We start from the raw sequence: 19,100 nt of genomic DNA, 5'->3' as shown, positions 1-19,100 counted from the left end.
GTCAGAGCCCCATGCAGGCTCTCAGCCTGGACACCCTCTCATCTCTCCACCCTCAACATGCTACAATTTATGCAACAGATTTTTTTTTTCAAATTCCATTCAAAAGGGGGTGACTATTAGCCTGTAGAGAGTCTTATGCGGGCAGGAGGTGGAATGGCTAAACTAGGATATTCTCAGGATCCAGAGACCTGGAGATCACTAAGTGGCACATTTGAAACACACACACACACACAACCTTCTCTAAATGTTGAGAACACAAGACCAAGTTATCACATTCTTAAAGCACTAGACAGAAAGGAGTAAAAAGAAATCTCTCTTCATCAGCTTGCCCATGCCTGGGTGGTGCCCAAGATGCATTTCCTTTGGCTGTAAGATTGTTTTATGGGCTGCTTTTGGAAAAGAAGTAGAATAAGGTTTTTGAAAAATCATCAAATGCTTCCAAGAAAACTCAAAATTCTAACCAGCATGGGAGGCGGTTTTCCATTCCCTGGTCATAAGCTGTCCAGGAGCCCTGGGGAGTCCAGCCAGTTCCCTAGACAGGGCCAGCCGAGCCCAGGGCAGAAGAGGTCAGGCTCACAGAGATGCCAGTGGACCACCCTGGGCAGGGCAGCCCTGCAGGGCTCACAAGTGGCTCATTTTCTCCAAGACAGCTGGGTGCTGGGCTCAGGAGAAAAGGCAGAGACTGTCTGTATCTTGGCAGAGCCTGGGAGGAGGGTCCGGGAGATAGTCATTTTATAAGAAGGTTATTTGCGTCTCCCATCCTTGTAGAGAAGAAAGCCAGGGTGGCCATGTGAGGTGGCTCACGCCCGTAATCACGGCACTTTGGGAGGCTGAAGCAGGTGGATCACCTGAGGTTTGGGGAGTTCAAGATCAGCCTGACCAACACGGAAAAACCCCATCTCTACTAAAAATACAAAATTAGCCGGACATGGTGGTGCATGCCTGTAATCCCAGCTACTCGGGAGGCTGAGGCAGGAGAATTGCTTGAACCCGGTAGGCAGAGGTTGCAGTGAGCCAAGATCGTGCCATTGCACTCCAGCCTGGGCAACAAGAGTGAAACTCCATCTCAAAAAAAAAAAAAAAAAAAAAAAAAGAGAGAGCCAGGGTGTGCTCAGAGACAGCTGAAGCCTTTTTTGGTGGCCTGGAGATATAAAGAAGCCTTCATGATTGGCATGGTTTGGCTCTGTGTCTCCACCCAAATCTCATCTTGTAGCTCCCATAACTCCCATGTGTTGTGGGAGAGACCCGGTGGGAGATGATTGAATTATGTGGGCGGGCCTTCTTGTGTTGTTCTGATGATAGTGAATGGGTCTCATGAGATCTGATGGTTTTAAAAACCGGCGTTGCCCTGCACACGCTCTCTCTTTGCCTGCCACCATCCACGTAAGATGTGACTTGCTCCTCCTTGCCTTCTGCCATGATTGTGAGGCCTCCCAGACACGTGGAACTGTGAGTCCAATTAAACCTCTTTCTTTTGTAAATTGCCCAGCTTGGGTATGTCTTTATCAGCAGTGTGAAAACAAACTAATGCAGTGATCTAAACTGGTCACTCTCTCTTTTTAGAGAGATTGTCGAGTAGAAAGATGCAAATGTGGGAAGACCAGAAATCAGAGTCCCAATTCCTGGTAGCAGTTGGGAAGCAGAAACAGGAGGGTGGATCCTCTGACTCAGCCTCGTGACCCATCAGCACAGAAATAATCTTGAGTCAAAATCTCCCCATCTTCAAAACTAGGGCTCAGGTCAACAGCCACCAAATTGCCATCTTCTGCTACCCCAGGAGGAAAATAAGGAAATGTCTGGAAGATGCTTCAGCTTATCAGTTTATTGTGACATACTATTAGGAATAGACTTAGAGGTATGTCACCTCTGGTCTGCAGGTAAAGCTGATATATGAGAATCCTATGGATTAGGTGGCTCAGCCCACCTTCCGCTAATAGGATGATTTACCATCCTGGTTTGCCTGGGACTCTCCTGATTTTAACATAGAAAACTCTTGCATCCTGGGAAACCCCTCTGTCCTGAGAAAAACCATGTGGTTCATTAGTCTTGCTAACTACACACACACACACACACACACACACACACACACATAAACACACCCCTAGCCAACCCTGATCTTTTCAAGGATATTGGTTATTCAAGTGCAAACATTAGTTCCATACTCCTCTTCACCCCCCCAGGCACAATGCTGAGTCCCATGTACATGGTCCATGAATGCTGTAGATGCAGCTGACATCCCCCTCACCCCCCTCATCTCCTTTGACACTAATGTACCCATTCTTTAAATGCTGCAAGTACTACAGGCAGCTTACAACCACCAACCACCTTGCCTGGAGAATTAACTTTGGCTGAGTCAAGCCACTTCACCCAGAAATGCAGACCTCTGGAGGCCATACCACTTCTCACCGGGGGCAGCTGGTGAGATTGACTGATATAGGGACAATTCTGTAATGCAGTTTATGCTCCAGTATCCCCCTGAGGGTCAGGCCAAGGCTAGACTGCACCTGAGAGCACATCCTGGCTCAAGCCCTCCCCAACTTCTGGACTCTGCTTCTACGAATCCCAACCTAGGGCAATATGTGCTATCCTCTTCCCCTCCACAGTACCTCCTGAGGCAACACCCTTCTTTTTATTGCTGCTACCAGAGTTGAAGCCACCATCATCTCTCATGGGTGACCACACAGTGTCCACCCTGTCTCCCTGCCTCCACTCCTACCTTCAATCCTCCCCATTTTCTTCAAAATGACCAGACGGAGCTTTTAAAAGTAAAAATCAACCATTCAGGCTGCTATAACAAAATATCATAGGCTAGGTATAACAAAATATCATACACTAGGTAGCTTAGAAACAACAGAAATTTCTCACTGTTCCAGAGGCCGGGAAGTTCAAGATCAAAGTGCCCAGTGAGAGTCCATTTTCTGGCTTAGAGATGGTGCCTTCTTGCCACATCTTCACATGGTGAAAGGGACTAGCGAGCTCTCTGTGGATCTTTTATAAGGCACTAATCCCTTTCCTGAGGGCTCTATCCCATGACTTAATCACCTCCCAAAGGCCCCTCCTGCTAAGACCGGTGCCTTAGGTGTTAGGATTTCACAGGACACAAACATTCAGACCAGAGCATACTCCTCTGCAAATCCTTCTGCAAATCTAACACTTTTTTTTTTTTTTTTTTTGAGACAGAGTCTTCTCTGTTGCCCAGGCTGGAGTGCAGTGGTGCAACCTCGGCTCACTGCAACCTCCACCTCCCAGGTTCAAGCGATTCTTCTGCCTCAGCCCCCCGAGTAGCTGAGACTACAGGTGCACACCACCACGCCCAGCTAATTTTTGTATTTTTTTCTAGTAGAGACAGGGTTTCACCTGACTCTGCCAGGCTGGTCTCGAACTCCTGACCTCGTGATCCACCTGCCTCAGCCTCCTAAAGTGCTAGGACTACAGGTGTGAGCCACCACGCCCGGCTTCTAACACCCTTTTATGAAGAAAAAATAATACTCGACAACTTAGGAATCAAAGGGAACTTCCTCAACCTGATAAAGAGCATCTGTAAGAAACCAGGGCCAGGCATGGTGGCTCACACCTGTAATCTCAGCACTTTGGGAGGCCAAGGTGGGCAGATCACTTGAGCCCAGGAGTTCAAGACCAGTATCGGCAACATGGTGAGACCCCCACCTCTACAAAAAATACAAAAATTAACCAGGCATGGTGGTGCATGCCTGTAGTCATAGCTACTTGGGAGGCAGAGGCAGGAGGGTTGCTTGAGCCCAGGAGGTGGAGGCTGCAGTGAGCTATGATCATGCCACCACACTCCAACCTGGGTGACAGAGCCAGAACAAGTCTCAAAAAAGGAGAAAAAAAGCCAACAGCAAACATCATACTTAATGACAAAAAATTGAAAGCATTTCCTTTAAGATCAGGAACATGATAAGGATGGCCATTCTTACCACTTCTAGTCACTATTTTGCTGAAGAGTCAAGCCAGGGAATTAGGCAAGAAATAGAAAAAGCAATCAGATTAGAAAGGAAGGATGGAGTAAAACTCTATTTGTGGATACTGTGATCTTGTAAGGCACGTGGAGGGTGAGGTCCTGATTTGTAGCACTAGCCGACTTCAGAGGTATAAATATGCCCACACATGCAAGGTCAAGCTACTGATAGGACGTCACTGAATGTAGAACTGAGAAGAAATGCACAGATTTGGTCCTCTCAACTATGACTATATACACAGAGGTGACCTCACCACTCATTACAATCCTTCCTCTGAAACCCCTTCTCTCACCCTCACTCACATACTATCTGGAACAGAGCAGGTATTTGACAAATAAATTGAATGGGGAAAATCCCATCTGTGGCTTTCTATTTCTCTTAAGATCTAAAGTCTTTGTAGTGGCCTGCATGTCCCTGCATGATCTGGCTTCTGCCCACCCTTCCAGCTTCATCTCACACTGCTTCTCCCCTTCTCTGTGTACTCAGCTGCACTGTCCTCCTTTGTCTCCCCCAGTGATCTAAGTTCTTCCCACCGCTGGGCTTTTGCACATGCTATTCCTGCTACCTGGAATACTGACTTCTCTTGGCTAAGCCTTACTCTTCTCTCAGGCCTTGGTTTATTGTGGTTGTTCTCAACCAGGGGACATTTGGAAATGTCTGGAGCCTTTTTTTAAAAAAGAAAGAGACAAGGTCTTGCTCTGTCACCCAGGCTGAAGTCTAATGTCATGATCATAGCTCACTGCAGCCTGGACTTCCCAGGCTCAATCGATCCTCCTGCCTCAGCCTCCTGCGAAGCTGGGACCACAGGCACGTGACACCACAGCCAAGTTGTTTTAACTCTTTTTTTTTTTTTTTTCCAGGACAGGGTCTCACTATGTTGCCCAGGCTGGTCTCAAACTCCTGGACTCAAGCGATCCTCCATCCTCAGCCTCCCAAAGTGCTGGGATTACAGGCATGATCCACCACACCTGGCCTGGAGACATTTTTTATTATCACAGCTGGAGGAATCCTACTGGCCTCTCATGGATAGAGGCCAGAGATTCTGCTCAATATCCTAAAATGCCCGGGACAGCCTTTCCCATCAAAGAATTATCCAGCTCAAAATGTCAATAGTAGCAAGATGGAGAAACCATGGTTTAATGTGAGATCACCTTCCCTGATCACCTCATTAACTGATGGAGGTTTCCCCTGTTATTCTCTCTCACGATACTCAAGTCTCTCCTTGAACCACTTACGCACAATTTGGACCTGGGCCACAGTAGACAGCCTAACATATTTGAGAAGATATTCAGGAGGTGGGGGGCTTAGAAGGGTCTAAACCTCCCTGTCTTGTGTCTTATGTCAGGTTTGCAGAGGCAGGAACAGACCCGAGGAGTCTTGCACAAGTGATTTATTAAGGACGTGCTCCAAGAGAAACCAACAGGCGATGGGGGGAGCAAAAGTGGGGAAGGGAAGAAGCCAAGCCAGCGTGAGATTTCAGCAAAGCCTCAGCACTAGCTGAGCCTGCTGGGGAGCTCTCAGCATAAATTACGCTCTGAGTGCGTCCCCACTCACTCAAGGCAGAGAAGTTGGGTTTTCATGCTCCTACACCGGTCAGTCTTCAGCTAGGGGTCACCCCAGAGCTGCACTCCCTCCTGATGCCATCAGCCCTCTGGGCTTGCAGGCAGAGCAGTTGGTAGCCTAAAAGCAGGCCTCCAGAGAGAGCCACAGTCGCAACCACAAGAAGCCAGAGCTCCTAGAAGCCAGAGAATATTTGCACAGAAGCAGTAAAAGAAAGAGAATCTGAGTGGGACATCAACAATGCAAATCTGCTAGACAGCTGGGCGATCAGATTAAAATGAATTAAACTTGTGGGACTTCCGTTGGTGTACAAAGTAGTGGCTCCTCTTCCTGGGTATGTCTCTCCTTCTCAAGAGCCCGCAGAAAGCTCCCTATTATAAGTCAGCATCTGTGATATGACCTCACTGGGCATTTATTTATACTAAATCCCTGCTAACAGTTTCTGCCACCCTGCTCTTCTTATTGTGAAAGTTATAGATTTCTCTCCCTGCTCACAATTTATGCTTCTACAAAGGTAGCTCATAACAAAAGAACATCTGTATATCAAACCTACTTGACTTGGTCAGCCCAGAGATGTTTCTTCACTCCCCCATGAAGCCACCAATAGCCTTGAGGATATTGGAGAGCTTCTGAAAGTTGTCTTCAAAATTCGATGTGCGTATGAGTTCTTTGTAGAGAGGATCCATTGTTTCATTTGATTATCCAGGTGGCTCATGACCCAAAATAAATCCAAGATAAAAGTTCCTCTCTTTGGTAGAATTGAATTTTCTATATCAGGATGTTTATTAGTTTGCTAGAGCTGTTTAAACAAAATACTACAGGCTGGGCACGGTGGCTCATAACTGTAATCCCAGCACTTTGGGAGGCCAAGGTGGGCAGATCACTTGAGCTCAGGAGTTCAAGACCAGCTTGGCCAACATGGCAAAACCTTGTCTCTACCATAAACACAAAAATTAGTCAGATGTAGTGGTAGGCACCTGTAATCTCAACTACTTGTGAGGCTGAGGCACAAGAATCACTGGAACCTGGGAGATGGAGGTTGCAGTGAGCCAAGATCGTGCCACTGCGCTCCAGCCTGGGTGACAGAATGAGACTCTGTCAAAAAAAACAAAAACAAAAACAAAAAAAAAACACAAACAAACACACACACACAGATTGAAGAGCTGAGTATGGTGGTTCAAGCCTGTAATCCCACACTTTGGGAGGCCAAGGTGGGAGGATCACTTGAGCCCAGAAGTTCAAGACCAGCCTGGGCAACATAGCAATACCCTGTCTCTACAAAAGGGAAAAAAAAAAAAATCTTAAAAATTAGGCAGGCAGAAGCTGTGCAATGTAGTCCCACCTACTTGGAAAGCAGAGGTAGAAGGATCACTTGAGCCCAGGAGTTCGAAGCTGCAGTGAGCAGTGATCGCGCCACTGCACTCCATCCTGAGCAAAAGAGCGAGACCCGATCTCAAACAAAACAAACAAAACCACAGATTGGGTGGCTCATGCCAGATAAACAATAAATTTACTGTCTTACAGTTCAGGAAGAACAGAAGTCCAAGACCCAGGTTGGCACAATCAGTCTCTTCTGAGGGCTCTGTGGGTGAACCTGGCCCATGCCTCTCTCTGGCTTCTGATAATTGCTGGCATCTTTGGCATTCCTTGGCTTGTAGAGCTTTCACCCAGATCTCTGCCTTCACCTTGACATGGTGTTCTCCGTGTGCATGTGTGTGTGTGTGTGTGTGTGTGTTTGTCTGTGTCCACATTTCCCCTCTTTATAAAGATACAAATTCTATAAGATTTAGAGCCACCCTATCCGGTATGACCTCATCTCAACAAATTACATTTGTGACTACCTTTTTAAATATTTTTTTTCTTGAGACAGGGCTTTTCTCTGCTACCCAGGCTGGAGTGCAGTGGTGTGATCACAGTTCACTGCAGCCTCAACCTCCTGGGCTCACAGGATCCTCCTACTCCAGCCTCCTGAGTAGCTGGGACCACAGGTGTGCACCACCATGTCACCATGCCTGAGTAACTTCTTTATTTTTTTGTAGAGATGGGGGGCGGTCTCTCTATGTTGCCCAGGCTGGTCTCGAACTCCTCAAGTAATCCAACTCAGCCTCCCTAAGTGCTGGGATTACAGGTGTGAGCCACTGCACTCAACCTACCTATTTCTAAATAAGGTGACATTTTGAGATACTGGGGGTCAGGACATCAACATGTGAATATTTGGGAAACACAGTTTGGCCCATAACAGAGCGTCTTAAAGTCGGATAGGCCAATATCTTGAGTTGTCAGGGATGGTGCTGGGGCAAAGGACGGAAGAAGAGTGTTCATCTGAGTAGGGGGTGGGAGGGAGGAAGGACCCCTGAGAGTGGAGGGGACTGGTTGACTATGGGGAGAATGAGCCAGCCTCAGCCCATGGGCTCTGAGAAGCCTCCCTAGTGGCATCCAGTGTCTCCACCTCCTTTCATGCACCTCTTTCTGTTTACTCAGGCCCATCCCTTACCCCTACCGCTGATGGGGCAAGCAGCTGCAGGTCAGCTGCCACCGGCTTGGTGCAGGAGCTTGTGGATACCCTCAGTAAAGCAAAGACCACATTATCACACAACCTAAAAGCTGGATGAGTTAAAAGCCACAGGACTGCCTTGACCAAGGGGGGAAGGGAGCCCATGGATAACTTCTTCTCTCCCTCCTGCCCTGGGCAGACACTTCTGAGATGCCTCTCAGAAGGCTTCATAGATCCTGCAAAATATGCACCAGTTGCCTGTAGTGGTGGCCAAGTCCTCTCCTTCCTACGTTGTCCCTTTTTCCTTCTCCCTGGTATCATGTATTAGTCTGTTCTAATGCTGTTAATAAAGACATACTGGAGGCTGGGTGGGGTGGCTCATGCCTGTAATTCCAGCACTTTGGGAGGCTGACGGGGGCAGATCATTGGAGGTCAGGAGTTCGAGACTAGCCTGGCCAACATGGTAAAAACCCATCTCTACTAGGAAAAAAATACACAGATTAGCTGGGTGTGCTGGTGCATGCCTGTAATCCCAACTACTTGAGAAGCTGAGGCATGAGAATCGCTTGAACCTGGGAGGCAGAGGTGGCAGTGAGCCGAGACTGCACCACTGCACTCCAGCCTGGGCAACAGAGTGAGACTCCTTCTCAAAAAATAAAAATAAAGACATACCTGAGACTGGGTAATTTATAAAGGAAAGAGGTTTAATGGACTCACAGTTCCACATGGCTGGGGAGGCTTCACAATCATGGTGGGAAGCGAAGGAGGAGCAAAGTCACGTCTTACATGGTGACAGGCAAGAGACCGTGTGCAGGGGAACTCCCCTGTATAAAACCATTAGATCTCATGGGACTTATTCATTACTATGAGAACAGTATGGGGATAAAACTCCCATGACTCAGTTATCTCCACGTGGCCCTGCCCTTGACACTTGGGGATTATTACAATTCAAGATGGGATTTGGGTGGGGATACAGAGCCAAACCATATCAGGTCACTTCCCAAGAAAACTGCCTGCACATGAACCTTTGCCTCAAGCTCTGCTTTCAGGCCCAGGCTGAGACATTCTGCATGCCAGATCACAGAGGAAGGAGAAGTGGGCTTCTCCCTGGTGTCAACAGCACATCCCCTATGTGGACAGACAAAGCTTTTGGAGGAGAGAATTGAGGGGGTGGGAGGAGACAGAGGCAGGCAGGGGCAGGAGCGGCCACATCTTTCCTGCTCCTGAGAGTAAGCTGCTGGCCACTTGCAAAGACAGAATAGACTCTGGGTTGAGTGCTAGTCCTCCAGGCTGACTTCTGATCAGCCCCAGTCCCATGAACTCCCTCCAGTTTCTGCTATATGTCCCTAGCATAAGAACACATCAACCCTAATGTTATCATATATATGGCAGGACATGACATACATCACGTCATGGCCTTTAGTTGTCTTGCTGGAGCATGTACCCCTCTCCCTATGGTAGGTAAGCCCTGGGTCTAGGGAGTAATAGTGCAGAAACCTAAGACCACGGTCTTGCGGCCACCCAAGACCATGCTTCTGCCTGTAATTTCCCCTAATTAAACCCCCTATACCAACAAATTGGATGTGTCTGTTTCCTTCTTGGTTTCCTGGCTTCCCTGGCATTTGGGGGCAACTTTGCATATACAACTTGCATATACAAAAAGAAGCCCTGAGGCATTACACAGCTATTATTTGTAAGCTTGCTTTCCTAATATACCCTCCTCCCAAAATACAAAACACATTCTCCCTCCTGACCCACTCCCAAGAGTGCCATCCCTGCAAGCGATCATCCCCGGAAGAGCAGTATCCCTAAAGCAGCAAGTGCTTACAGCCCTGCAGCCAGGACTTGGAGCTTTGAAGCCCTGCCTACCAATGTGTGGACAAGTTACTTAGACTCTTTATGCCTCCATTTTCTCATCTGTAAAATGGGCCTGATAATAGCACTAGCCTCATAGTGTGGTGGCAAGATTTATGAAGGTCAGTGCCTATCTCAGCTGGTTCTTAGTGGAGGGGACAGTGACTAGAAGGGTGTACAAGAGGGGTTTCCATGGGGGCCGGGAATGCTCTGCTTCTCTACTCAGCTGCTGGTTCCAGTGGGTGGGTACAGTTATTGATAAGTCAAATGTGCTGATAAGTGCACTCTTGTGTATATATCATATATTTTAATGAGAAGTCTAAAGCAAAAAATAAAATAACCTGCTGCTGCCGGTGGTGGTGATGTTATTAAACTCCAAGCTGTAGGAGAAAGTGGATACATTTTTGACTTATATAAAATGCCCAGTGACATTGCTTTGGGCTCCTTTTTATTGGTAGCACTCCTGAGCAGGAGCCCAACCAGCCAATTTGGGACAACTCCCAGGTGGGAATACAGTGGGCTGGTTCCTCATTGCATGACCTCTCATCTCAAGACCTCAGTTTCTCCACTGGTAAAATGGAAAGAAATTGTCCCTGTCAAATTCCAAAGTCCTGTCATGGCTCTCCGTTTTACACATGGGAAAATTGAGGCTCGAAATGGTTCATTACAAACTTGCAGGCACTAAAGCTTTCGGAAAGACCAGACTCTCTCATTCCCTCCCTGACTGGTCCCAGGAATAAGAACAGCAATAATCCCAGCACAGCAATAACAGGTGGTGTATATGAGCTCTTGCTCCTGGAACCAGGCACTGTTCTATTCCTTACCTCATTTTGTCCTCACATTATTGTCCCATTTTACAGGAAAGAAAACTGAGGCTCAGAGAGTTAAGGTCACAGAGGCAAAGCTCATGCTTCTACCCACTGCCCTTCCACCAGGTCCCTTGGGTTTGGTGGGTTGCTTCTGCGACCTTCCCCCGCCCCCATCCCTCTTCCTCTCTACTCCCAGGCCTATCCTTTCCCTCCCCCATATGTGTATTTAGCCAGGCTGGGTCCCAGCCAAGTCTCGGCTGTCACAGCGTTCCCATCTTTGATCACCCGTCAGCCCAGATGTTGGGCTGATCAAAGGCAGCTGTTACCCAGTCCCTCCCCAAAGCACATGATTATGGATGCACATAAGAGAGAGGTGGGAGGGCGGGAGGGTGGAGGAACAGCCACGTGACAATGGAGACACGCTGGGCCACTGTGCAGGGATAGGCTGGGTCAGGGGGGAGCCAGCTGGGCTTGGGGACCTACTCTTGTCACTGCAAGGTCTCAGAAGGACCAGGGTCCACCAATGCTGAGCAGAGAAACTGATGCTTAACTTTGAAAAGGCTGGAGCTAGATTCAGGGCCCTAGCCTCAAAATGAGTTAAGAAACAAAATCTCAGAGATGAAGGAAGAGGCTGCCAGTAGCTCTACCCATGACAATAATACCCATCTGACTCAAAGCACTGGCTCCAGCCATCTTTTCTACCAGGTTTCTCAAGAGCTGAATTTTCTGTTTACAGTTAATTAAATAAAAAAAGCATGAAACAGCATGTAGGAGATAGCCTTGTGACATTTTACTTTTTAAAATACAGTTATAAGAACCGAGAAAAAGGAAAAAAAAAAACACTGGAAGTGCATACGCCAGAATATTCAGTGGCTGGCCACATATGGGTAGGGAGAAGGCACTTCCCTTTGCTTTTTTTTCTTCATTCATCAATTCAACAAAATTTATGAGCATGTTTTGAAATAATAACACCTAAGATGTATTAAATGTTCACTGGATTCCAGAAACAGGCTCATCTCTGTTTTGCAGAATTAATATATGTTATTTTTATTTAAAAAATTATAAAATTTAAGCAAAATATAAAATGGTATATATGCTTTGATAACAATTTTCTAAAAGGCATGATGAGAGAGATGAGATACATTGATAGATGATACATACATAGATGATTGATAGATTGATGATTGATAGATACATGATAGATAGACAGACAGAGATAGATAGATAGATAGATAGATAGATAGATAGATAGATAGATAGATAGGCAGGCATGATATAAGGCTGAAAAAAATGCTGGAATATACAAGGAACCCCCAGCACCTGCAACCTGATTGGCAAGTAGCAAACACCATCTACCCTCTCTCACTCCAGTTTCCAATTCCCATAGGCAAAATAAAAATTTATGGTGTTCTGGATGGGCTTGAATTCCCACCATCAGAAACTCCAAAGCCACAAACTCTTACCGGACCTGAGACAAAGCCACCTGCCTTTTTCAAGAGTGATCTGTGCCAGGCACTTTGCATACATTATTTCCAACCTGCACAACCACCGTTATATTATCAAGTGGTATTATATATTGGTTTTAACAGGTGTGCAAACTGAGACGCAGAAAGGCCAGAACAAACAGATGCCCTAATTGTTCTTCTCTCACTAGATGCAGCATCTGCCTTCAGTCCCCAAGCAGTGACGTCTAGCAGTCCTGGGAACTGTGTACAGCCAAGGGGGTTGAAGTTAGATCTACCATTTCATTCCCCTGCCCAAAATCTTGATGTGGCAATCCAAAGCTCTTTGGTGAATGTCCCAACTCCTTAGCAAGGCCAAGATCCAAGAGGATTAGAGCAACGTGAATGTCTCCTGTTTGGTTTCTCATGGTTCCTCCTTTGTCCTGCATGATCCCACCATGCAGACATTCCAGGATCTCAAATGCCAAGTCTTCCCTCATCCCTGCTCTGTGCTCACAGGTTGTTCTTCCTCCCTGGAACCTTCTCTCTTCCTTTATCGCCGCTCTCATTCTCCTTCCAGCCTCAACTAGGGTCCCCTCTTTCCACTTTCTCTTGGTTTGTCTTCACCGCCCAAACTGGGCAGGTGAGAGCCTCCTCTGTGGCCTTCAGGCTCTCACATAAACTGCCAAAAGTGACAATCAAAATATCTAACACCTGGTAAGCTGCAGTAATAACCCATCACCATCAACTCTGACCCAATCAGACGAGACATTTGCAATAAAAAAACTGGTCTGACCCACCTTGCTGTGCAGCAGCTGAACATCAGCCCTGCTTAGCCTTAGCCCTCATCACACTGAATCACAAAATTCTATTTCCCACCTGTCTCCATCTGAAGAACGTCAACAACTGAAGAACAGGATCTGTTTCCCACCATCTTGATCAATCAATATTTTCTCTTTTTCTTTATTTTTTTGTTTGTTGTTGTTGTTGTTGTTTTGGTTTGGTTTGGTTTGGTTTTTGTTTTTTTTTTTCTTTCTTTTTTTTTTTGAGAAAGAGTCTTGCTCTGTCGCCCAGGCTGGAGAACAGTGGTGGGATCTCGGCTCACTGCAACCTCTGCCTTCTAAGTTCAAGCGATTCTCCTGCCTCAGCCTCACGAGTACCTGGGATTACAGGTGCCCACCACCATGCTCAGCTAATTTTTGTATTTTTAGTAGAGACGAGGTTTCGCTATGTTGGCCAGGCTGGTCTCTAACTCCTCACCTCCAGTGATCTGCACACCTCAGCCTCCCAAAGTGCTGGGATTACAGATGTGAGCTACTGCGCCTGGCCAGATCAATCAATATTTTCTCAGTGCCAACTGGCATCCAATCTCACTGCTTACTAGCTCTGTGCTCTTAGCCTTATCTGTAAAATGGGCCAATAAAGACATCTGCCTTGTGGTTTGCCTCAAAAGGGATAATGTATCCAAAGTGCTTAGTGTAATTAACATGCTCATTCAATAAATGGTAGTTGTTTATTATTATTTTGTGTGTGTCAGTCTTACGGATTTATAGACTGAAAAGGGAGTTCTCTCCAGGAGGGAAGCAGAGATGAATTGGGCAGTCTGGAGGTGCCACCTAAGTACTGAAAAGCTCTGCCTCGATGCTCTCAGAGCCGGAGTCTCCCCACCCTTCCACCCTGGCCCCCTAAGAGCATGAGACCAAAGAGGAAGCTGATCAATCAATAGGACTTTAAAGGCCAGTCAGCTTTCATACACTGTGTCCTCCCAATGTTTCTTTTAACTACATGGTAACACTCATTTGTTTAGAACTCACAGCAAATACATCTTGGAGAGGACTTTGATCCCTGGCAGCTGTGTATGTGTGAGTGAGGCAGAGTCCCAGGGGCAGAGAGAGCCTGGAAAGGCAGGCTGGTCTTGTGGCTCTCATGCCCTCTGGGCTTGGCACTTCATCACCCAGCCCCCTCCCCAGCAAGTCTGCACTTGGTGGCAGAACGGACAGAAAAGCCAAACCAGAGAGCCCTGGATTCAAATCCTAGGTCTGCCACTTTTCAGATGTGTGACCTTGGGCAAGTCACTCAACCTCCATGGCATCACCTTCTTCATCTACAAAATAGGCATCATAATAGTCCTTAGCCAGGTGTGGTGGTTCACGCCTGTAATCCCAGCACGTTGAGGGGCTGAGATGGGAGGATTCCTTGAGCCCAGGAGTTTGACACCAGCCTGGGCAACATAGTGAGACCCTGTGTCTACAAAAAATATATATACAAATATTAGCCAGGCATGGTGGTGTGTGCCTGTAATCCTGGCTACTCGGGAGGCTGAGGTGGGAGTATCATCTAAGCCTGGGAGGTTGAGGCTGCAGTGAGTTGAGATCATGCCACTGCACTCCAGTCTGGGAAACAGAGTATGAGCCCGTCTCAACAATAATGATAGTTTTTGAAGCCAGTAGTTTGCATAGGAGTAGATGGATCACGCGTGTATTAATAAAATGCCTCGGGATAAGGTAGGAACTTAAACATTTGAATGAACAAATACTTTGGCTCTGCTTGTGAGAAAGGCAGCCTAACATTGTAATCATAATGTTACAGTGTAACCTGTACAAATTACAATGTAACACTGGAATTAAAATGTGACAGATTATACCCCTACTGTCTGGCTTTATGACCTTAGGTAAGTTACTTCCCCTTTCTGAGCCTTGGTCTTCTCATTTATAAAATAGAAATCATAACAGTATCTCCCTAATAGGGAGATTAGTATGAAAATTAACTAAGGCAGTCACTTTTAAGTGCTTACAGCAGTACTCAGCACATTGTACAAACTCAATATTACCTTCTTCATCATTTTAAGTCACACGGCCACGTGGAGCAGAAGGGGAACCCAGGCAATGCAGATCTTAGCTTAGGAGGCATCTGCCCAGCACTGGTGGTGGGTATTGGTGAAGAGAGTTTTATGCCATAATTACCAAAGAGGAGGCCACATCCCCTTTGAGAAAGACAGGTCTTAGAGCTCCCACCCCAGCCCTCACCCCATCCTTACATTAATCTCAGCACCTTGGCCCAGCCTTGCCCTCTGATCCCAAGATATCATTCAAAATCCCCTTTTGGGGTTGCCCCAAGGTCTTATTTTGTCACCTTATGACCTCATTTAACCTTCATTACCTCCTTAAAGGCCCTATCTATCTCAAATACAGTTTCATAAGAGGTTACAACTTCAACATATGAATTGGGATGGGAGGACACAATTCAGTCCATACAAGCCTGCTCTTCCCTTTTTGGGAAGCATTTGAGTCCCCCTTCCATTTGTTTTGTTTTGTTTTTTTTTTTTTTTTTTGGGACAAGGTCTCACTCTGTTACCCAGGAGTGCGGTGACGCGATCACAGCTCACTGCAGTTTCAAACTCCCACCTCAGCCTCCTGAGTAGCTAGGACGACAAGCACGCACAACCATGCCCGGCTAATTTTTTGTATTTTTTGTGGAAAGGGGGTCTTGCTATGTTGCCCAGGCTGGTTTGAACTTTTGGACTCAAGTGATCCTCCTGCCTCAGCCTACCAAAGTGCTGGGATTGCAGGCATGAGCCACCAGGCCTGGACCCCCTCCCATTTGGGTTGAATTGAATTTGCCTTCAAGTTCATAGAAGCACAAAATAAACCCTTCTGCCTAACCAAGGGTGGAAAATGGTCATGAATATGCACCTTTCCCCCAAAGAAAAATGGCACTTTTTATAACTATTAAGCCGACAGGAAAATCTTACTGAGCTGTGCATCAACTTTGAGATGACCATCCATCCCTCGCCTAGCATTCACCTCCTCTCCACTGTAACTAACAGATAAGCACAACCTCCATTGACAAGCAGGGGAATCTAGTGTTTCCCAGCTTCCAAAATGCTCTGCTGAACAGGAGCTTGTTTAATTCTCACACCCACACCTAGGATGCAGGATCCCATACACAGCTCCCATCCTACATGTTTTTTCTCACAATGCAGCTGACACTCCCCAAATCCCACCCCAGCAAGTGGCCGGGTCTGTGTCCCCACCCTTAAATCCATTTGGGGCCATGACTGCTCTGCCCAACAGGGTATAGCAGAAGTGATGCTCCATGACTTTAGAGGCTATATTTTAAAACTATATACAGTTTCTGCTTGTCTCTCTTGCTCCCACGGAAAGCCACCTTGGAGGCCAGCCACCATGCTGTGAGGAAGCTGAAACAAGCCTAGGCTAAGAACTTACAAGAAGAGGCCTCTGAGGCCCCAGACAAGCCAGCCCACCTGTGTCCCATCTGAATTCTAACCCATGTGAATCCATGAGCATAATGAATGGATGTACTATACCATCAGGTCTGGGATAATTTGTTATGCAACCTTAGTACCTAGAAAAATAATGTGTTCACTTTCTAGAGCTGCTGTAACAAATTATCACAGTCTGCTTTCCTTAAAACAACAGAATTCATTCATGCAGAGTTCTGGAGGCCAGAAGTTCAGAGTCAAGGTGTTGGCAGGGCTCTGCTCCCTCTGCGGGCTCTGGGGGGAGTCCGTGCCTTTTCTTTAGTTTCTGGTGTTGTTGGCAAGTCTTGGCATTCTCTGTCTTATAGATGCATCACTCCAGGCTGGGCTTCCATTGTCACTTGGTGTCCTCCCAGTGTGTCTGTCTCTGTTCTCTTCTTATAAGGACATTGGTCATGTTGGAGTAGGGCCCACCCTACTCCAGTAGACCTCATCTTAATTTGATTACATCTATAAAGACCCTATTTCCAACTAAGGTCACACACGGGAATTAGGACTTCAACATCTCTTTTGGAGAAACATAATTCAATTCATAACAAATAGTCAAGATAGGTACTCTATTTTGTAGATGAGAAAACCGAGGCTCAGAGAGGTAGAGTGACTTCCCAAGGTCACACAGCTGGGGAAGTCACTCTACCTCTACTTCTAATGGCTGAGATGAGCTTGGAACCCAGGTTTTAGTCTAGAGGTTTGTCTTCATGACACCAGCTCAGAGAGGTTAAGTAATTACCCTAAGGCCACACAGCTTCCAAGTTTAGCTGCTGAATTTTGAACCCAGATATTAAGTGACAAAGCGAAACGGTCCTCTCCTAAGCCTCGCTGATTCCACTGGGTCAGGAGGGCAAGTTCCCTGAGGGAGTGAAGAAGGCAGGCTTTTCTGGAGGATTTCAGGAGACACTTATGCAAGGGTCCTGGGTTCTGACGTTGCTGAGAAGTCAAGCAACTTCCCCAACCTCACTTCACTAAATCATCTCTCCAAGATGCTCAGAAACTTAATCCTCAGGCTTGACATTGCAACAGGTTGTTGGTTTTCTCCTCCTTGTCCCAAGGGTCAAGGACTTAACCCTCAAGAGGGAGCCCAGGGATCCTGAGTCCCACCTGCACATCCCCCCAGGGAGAAGGGGAGGTGATGAGAAACTTCCAGCAGGCTTGTTTGCTGTCTGCCCTTCTCTACGCCCACCTTCTCCATGCTGCTCAGTGCTGTGGGAGATGGCCTGGAATGGATCCTGCAGGTTCCACTGTGCCCTCTGGCTTCCAGTTTGGTTTGGCCAAAGGGGATCCCCAAAATGAGATTGCAGGGAGGGAAGCATGTTGGGCTGGAACATTTATTCCACCAGTGCGTCCCTGCAGGGTTGCCTTGGGCTGATCACATGCCTGACAGGCCCCAGCTCCCATCAGACACAGCCTGCATCCCTTTTGATGGGTCCAGAGGCCATGCCCTCCCCTCCCTCTTCAGTACTAGACACGTCCTGCTCCTTGCTGTGAGTAGCCCTGAGCACCGTGCTCTCCCACACCCTGCACACATATTGGTAAACTTTCCCCTTCATCAAACTCTCCTCAATTTCCTCAATTTGAATTGAGGCCAGAGCCAGGCTGATACAAGGGGCATTGCCCTCGCGAACCATTTTCTGACTACACTGACTTTTAATTTTTCAGATGCTGCACTAAGCATCCCCATCTTATAAGCTCAGGACGTGCTATTTCTTTCGGGCTCTACTGGGCATGGCCAGGCAGTTGGTGCTTCAGTGGTTCCTCCAGTGGTTCAGGAACCAGGATGGATTCAGGTCACTCAGTTCCTCCAATGACCCAAGCCACTTTGTGCCACTGAGTTCAAAGTGTACTAGGATTTGCAAGAAGGGATCTTTCTAGACCGGGAAGCTGCAAGACCTCAGGCACAGCCCTGTGCTGGGAAGTCTCTGTGACACTCTTCCTTAAGTCATCTGTTTCCTGAAATATCTCTGCACCATGTTAGAGGCAACGAGGAGTAATAGTTAAGAAGACAAATTTTGCAGCCAGAGAGACTTGAGTCCAGCTCTGCCTCTCACTGTGTGACATAGGACAAGTCCCTGACCTCAGCCTCCTCAGCATGGAAAATAGGAGGAAGAGTAGAACCCACCTTGGAGGCTGGTGGTAGGGATTTCATTACAATAATTCATAGTGCATAGCAAGCCCTAAGCAATTAGCAGCTGTTGCTGATTTTTTTTTTTTTTTTTTTTTTTTTTGAGATAGGGTCTCACTCTCATGACTCAGGCTGGAGGGCAGTGGTGTGATCACAGCTCACTGCAGCCTCAACCTCCTGGGCTCAAGGGGTCCTCTTGCCTCAGCCTCCAAGGTAGCTGGGGCTACAGACACACACCACAATGCCAGCTAATTTTTTTGTATTTTTAGTAGAGACAGGGTTTTGCCATGTTGCCCAGGCTGATCTCGAACTTCTGGGCTCAGGCGATCCCCACTACCTTAGCCTCCCAAAGTTGCTTATTTATTTAAGTGAGGATAAGAACAAGTGCTTAGGAGTGCTCACCACAGCCAGGCACTGTGTGATGCGCTGTCTGCTTATTAACACGTTTAATCATCACAGCACACCTATGTGGGAACCACTATCATCGCTATCCCCATTTTGCAGGTAAGAAAAATGAGGCACAGAGAGGTTAAGTGTCTTGCCCAAGGTGACACAGCTCTTAA

General features: G+C 47.0%; 1 annotated feature.

Annotated features, from left to right (window-relative positions):
* Window positions 733-902: an enhancer, noted in NCBI's record as "experimental_24787 CRE fragment used in MPRA reporter constructs". NCBI's record gives its function as "activates a minimal promoter by MPRAs in K562 erythroleukemia cells, with activity observed for both the introgressed and non-introgressed 12:114438779 variant alleles {active_cell/tissue: K562}" and the evidence as "EXISTENCE:reporter gene assay evidence [ECO:0000049][PMID:34662402]".

Source organism: Homo sapiens, chromosome 12, assembly GCF_000001405.40.
Source record: "Homo sapiens chromosome 12, GRCh38.p14 Primary Assembly".
Taxonomy (NCBI): Eukaryota; Metazoa; Chordata; class Mammalia; order Primates; family Hominidae; genus Homo; species Homo sapiens.
This window is presented reverse-complemented; position numbering and strand designations above follow the sequence as displayed.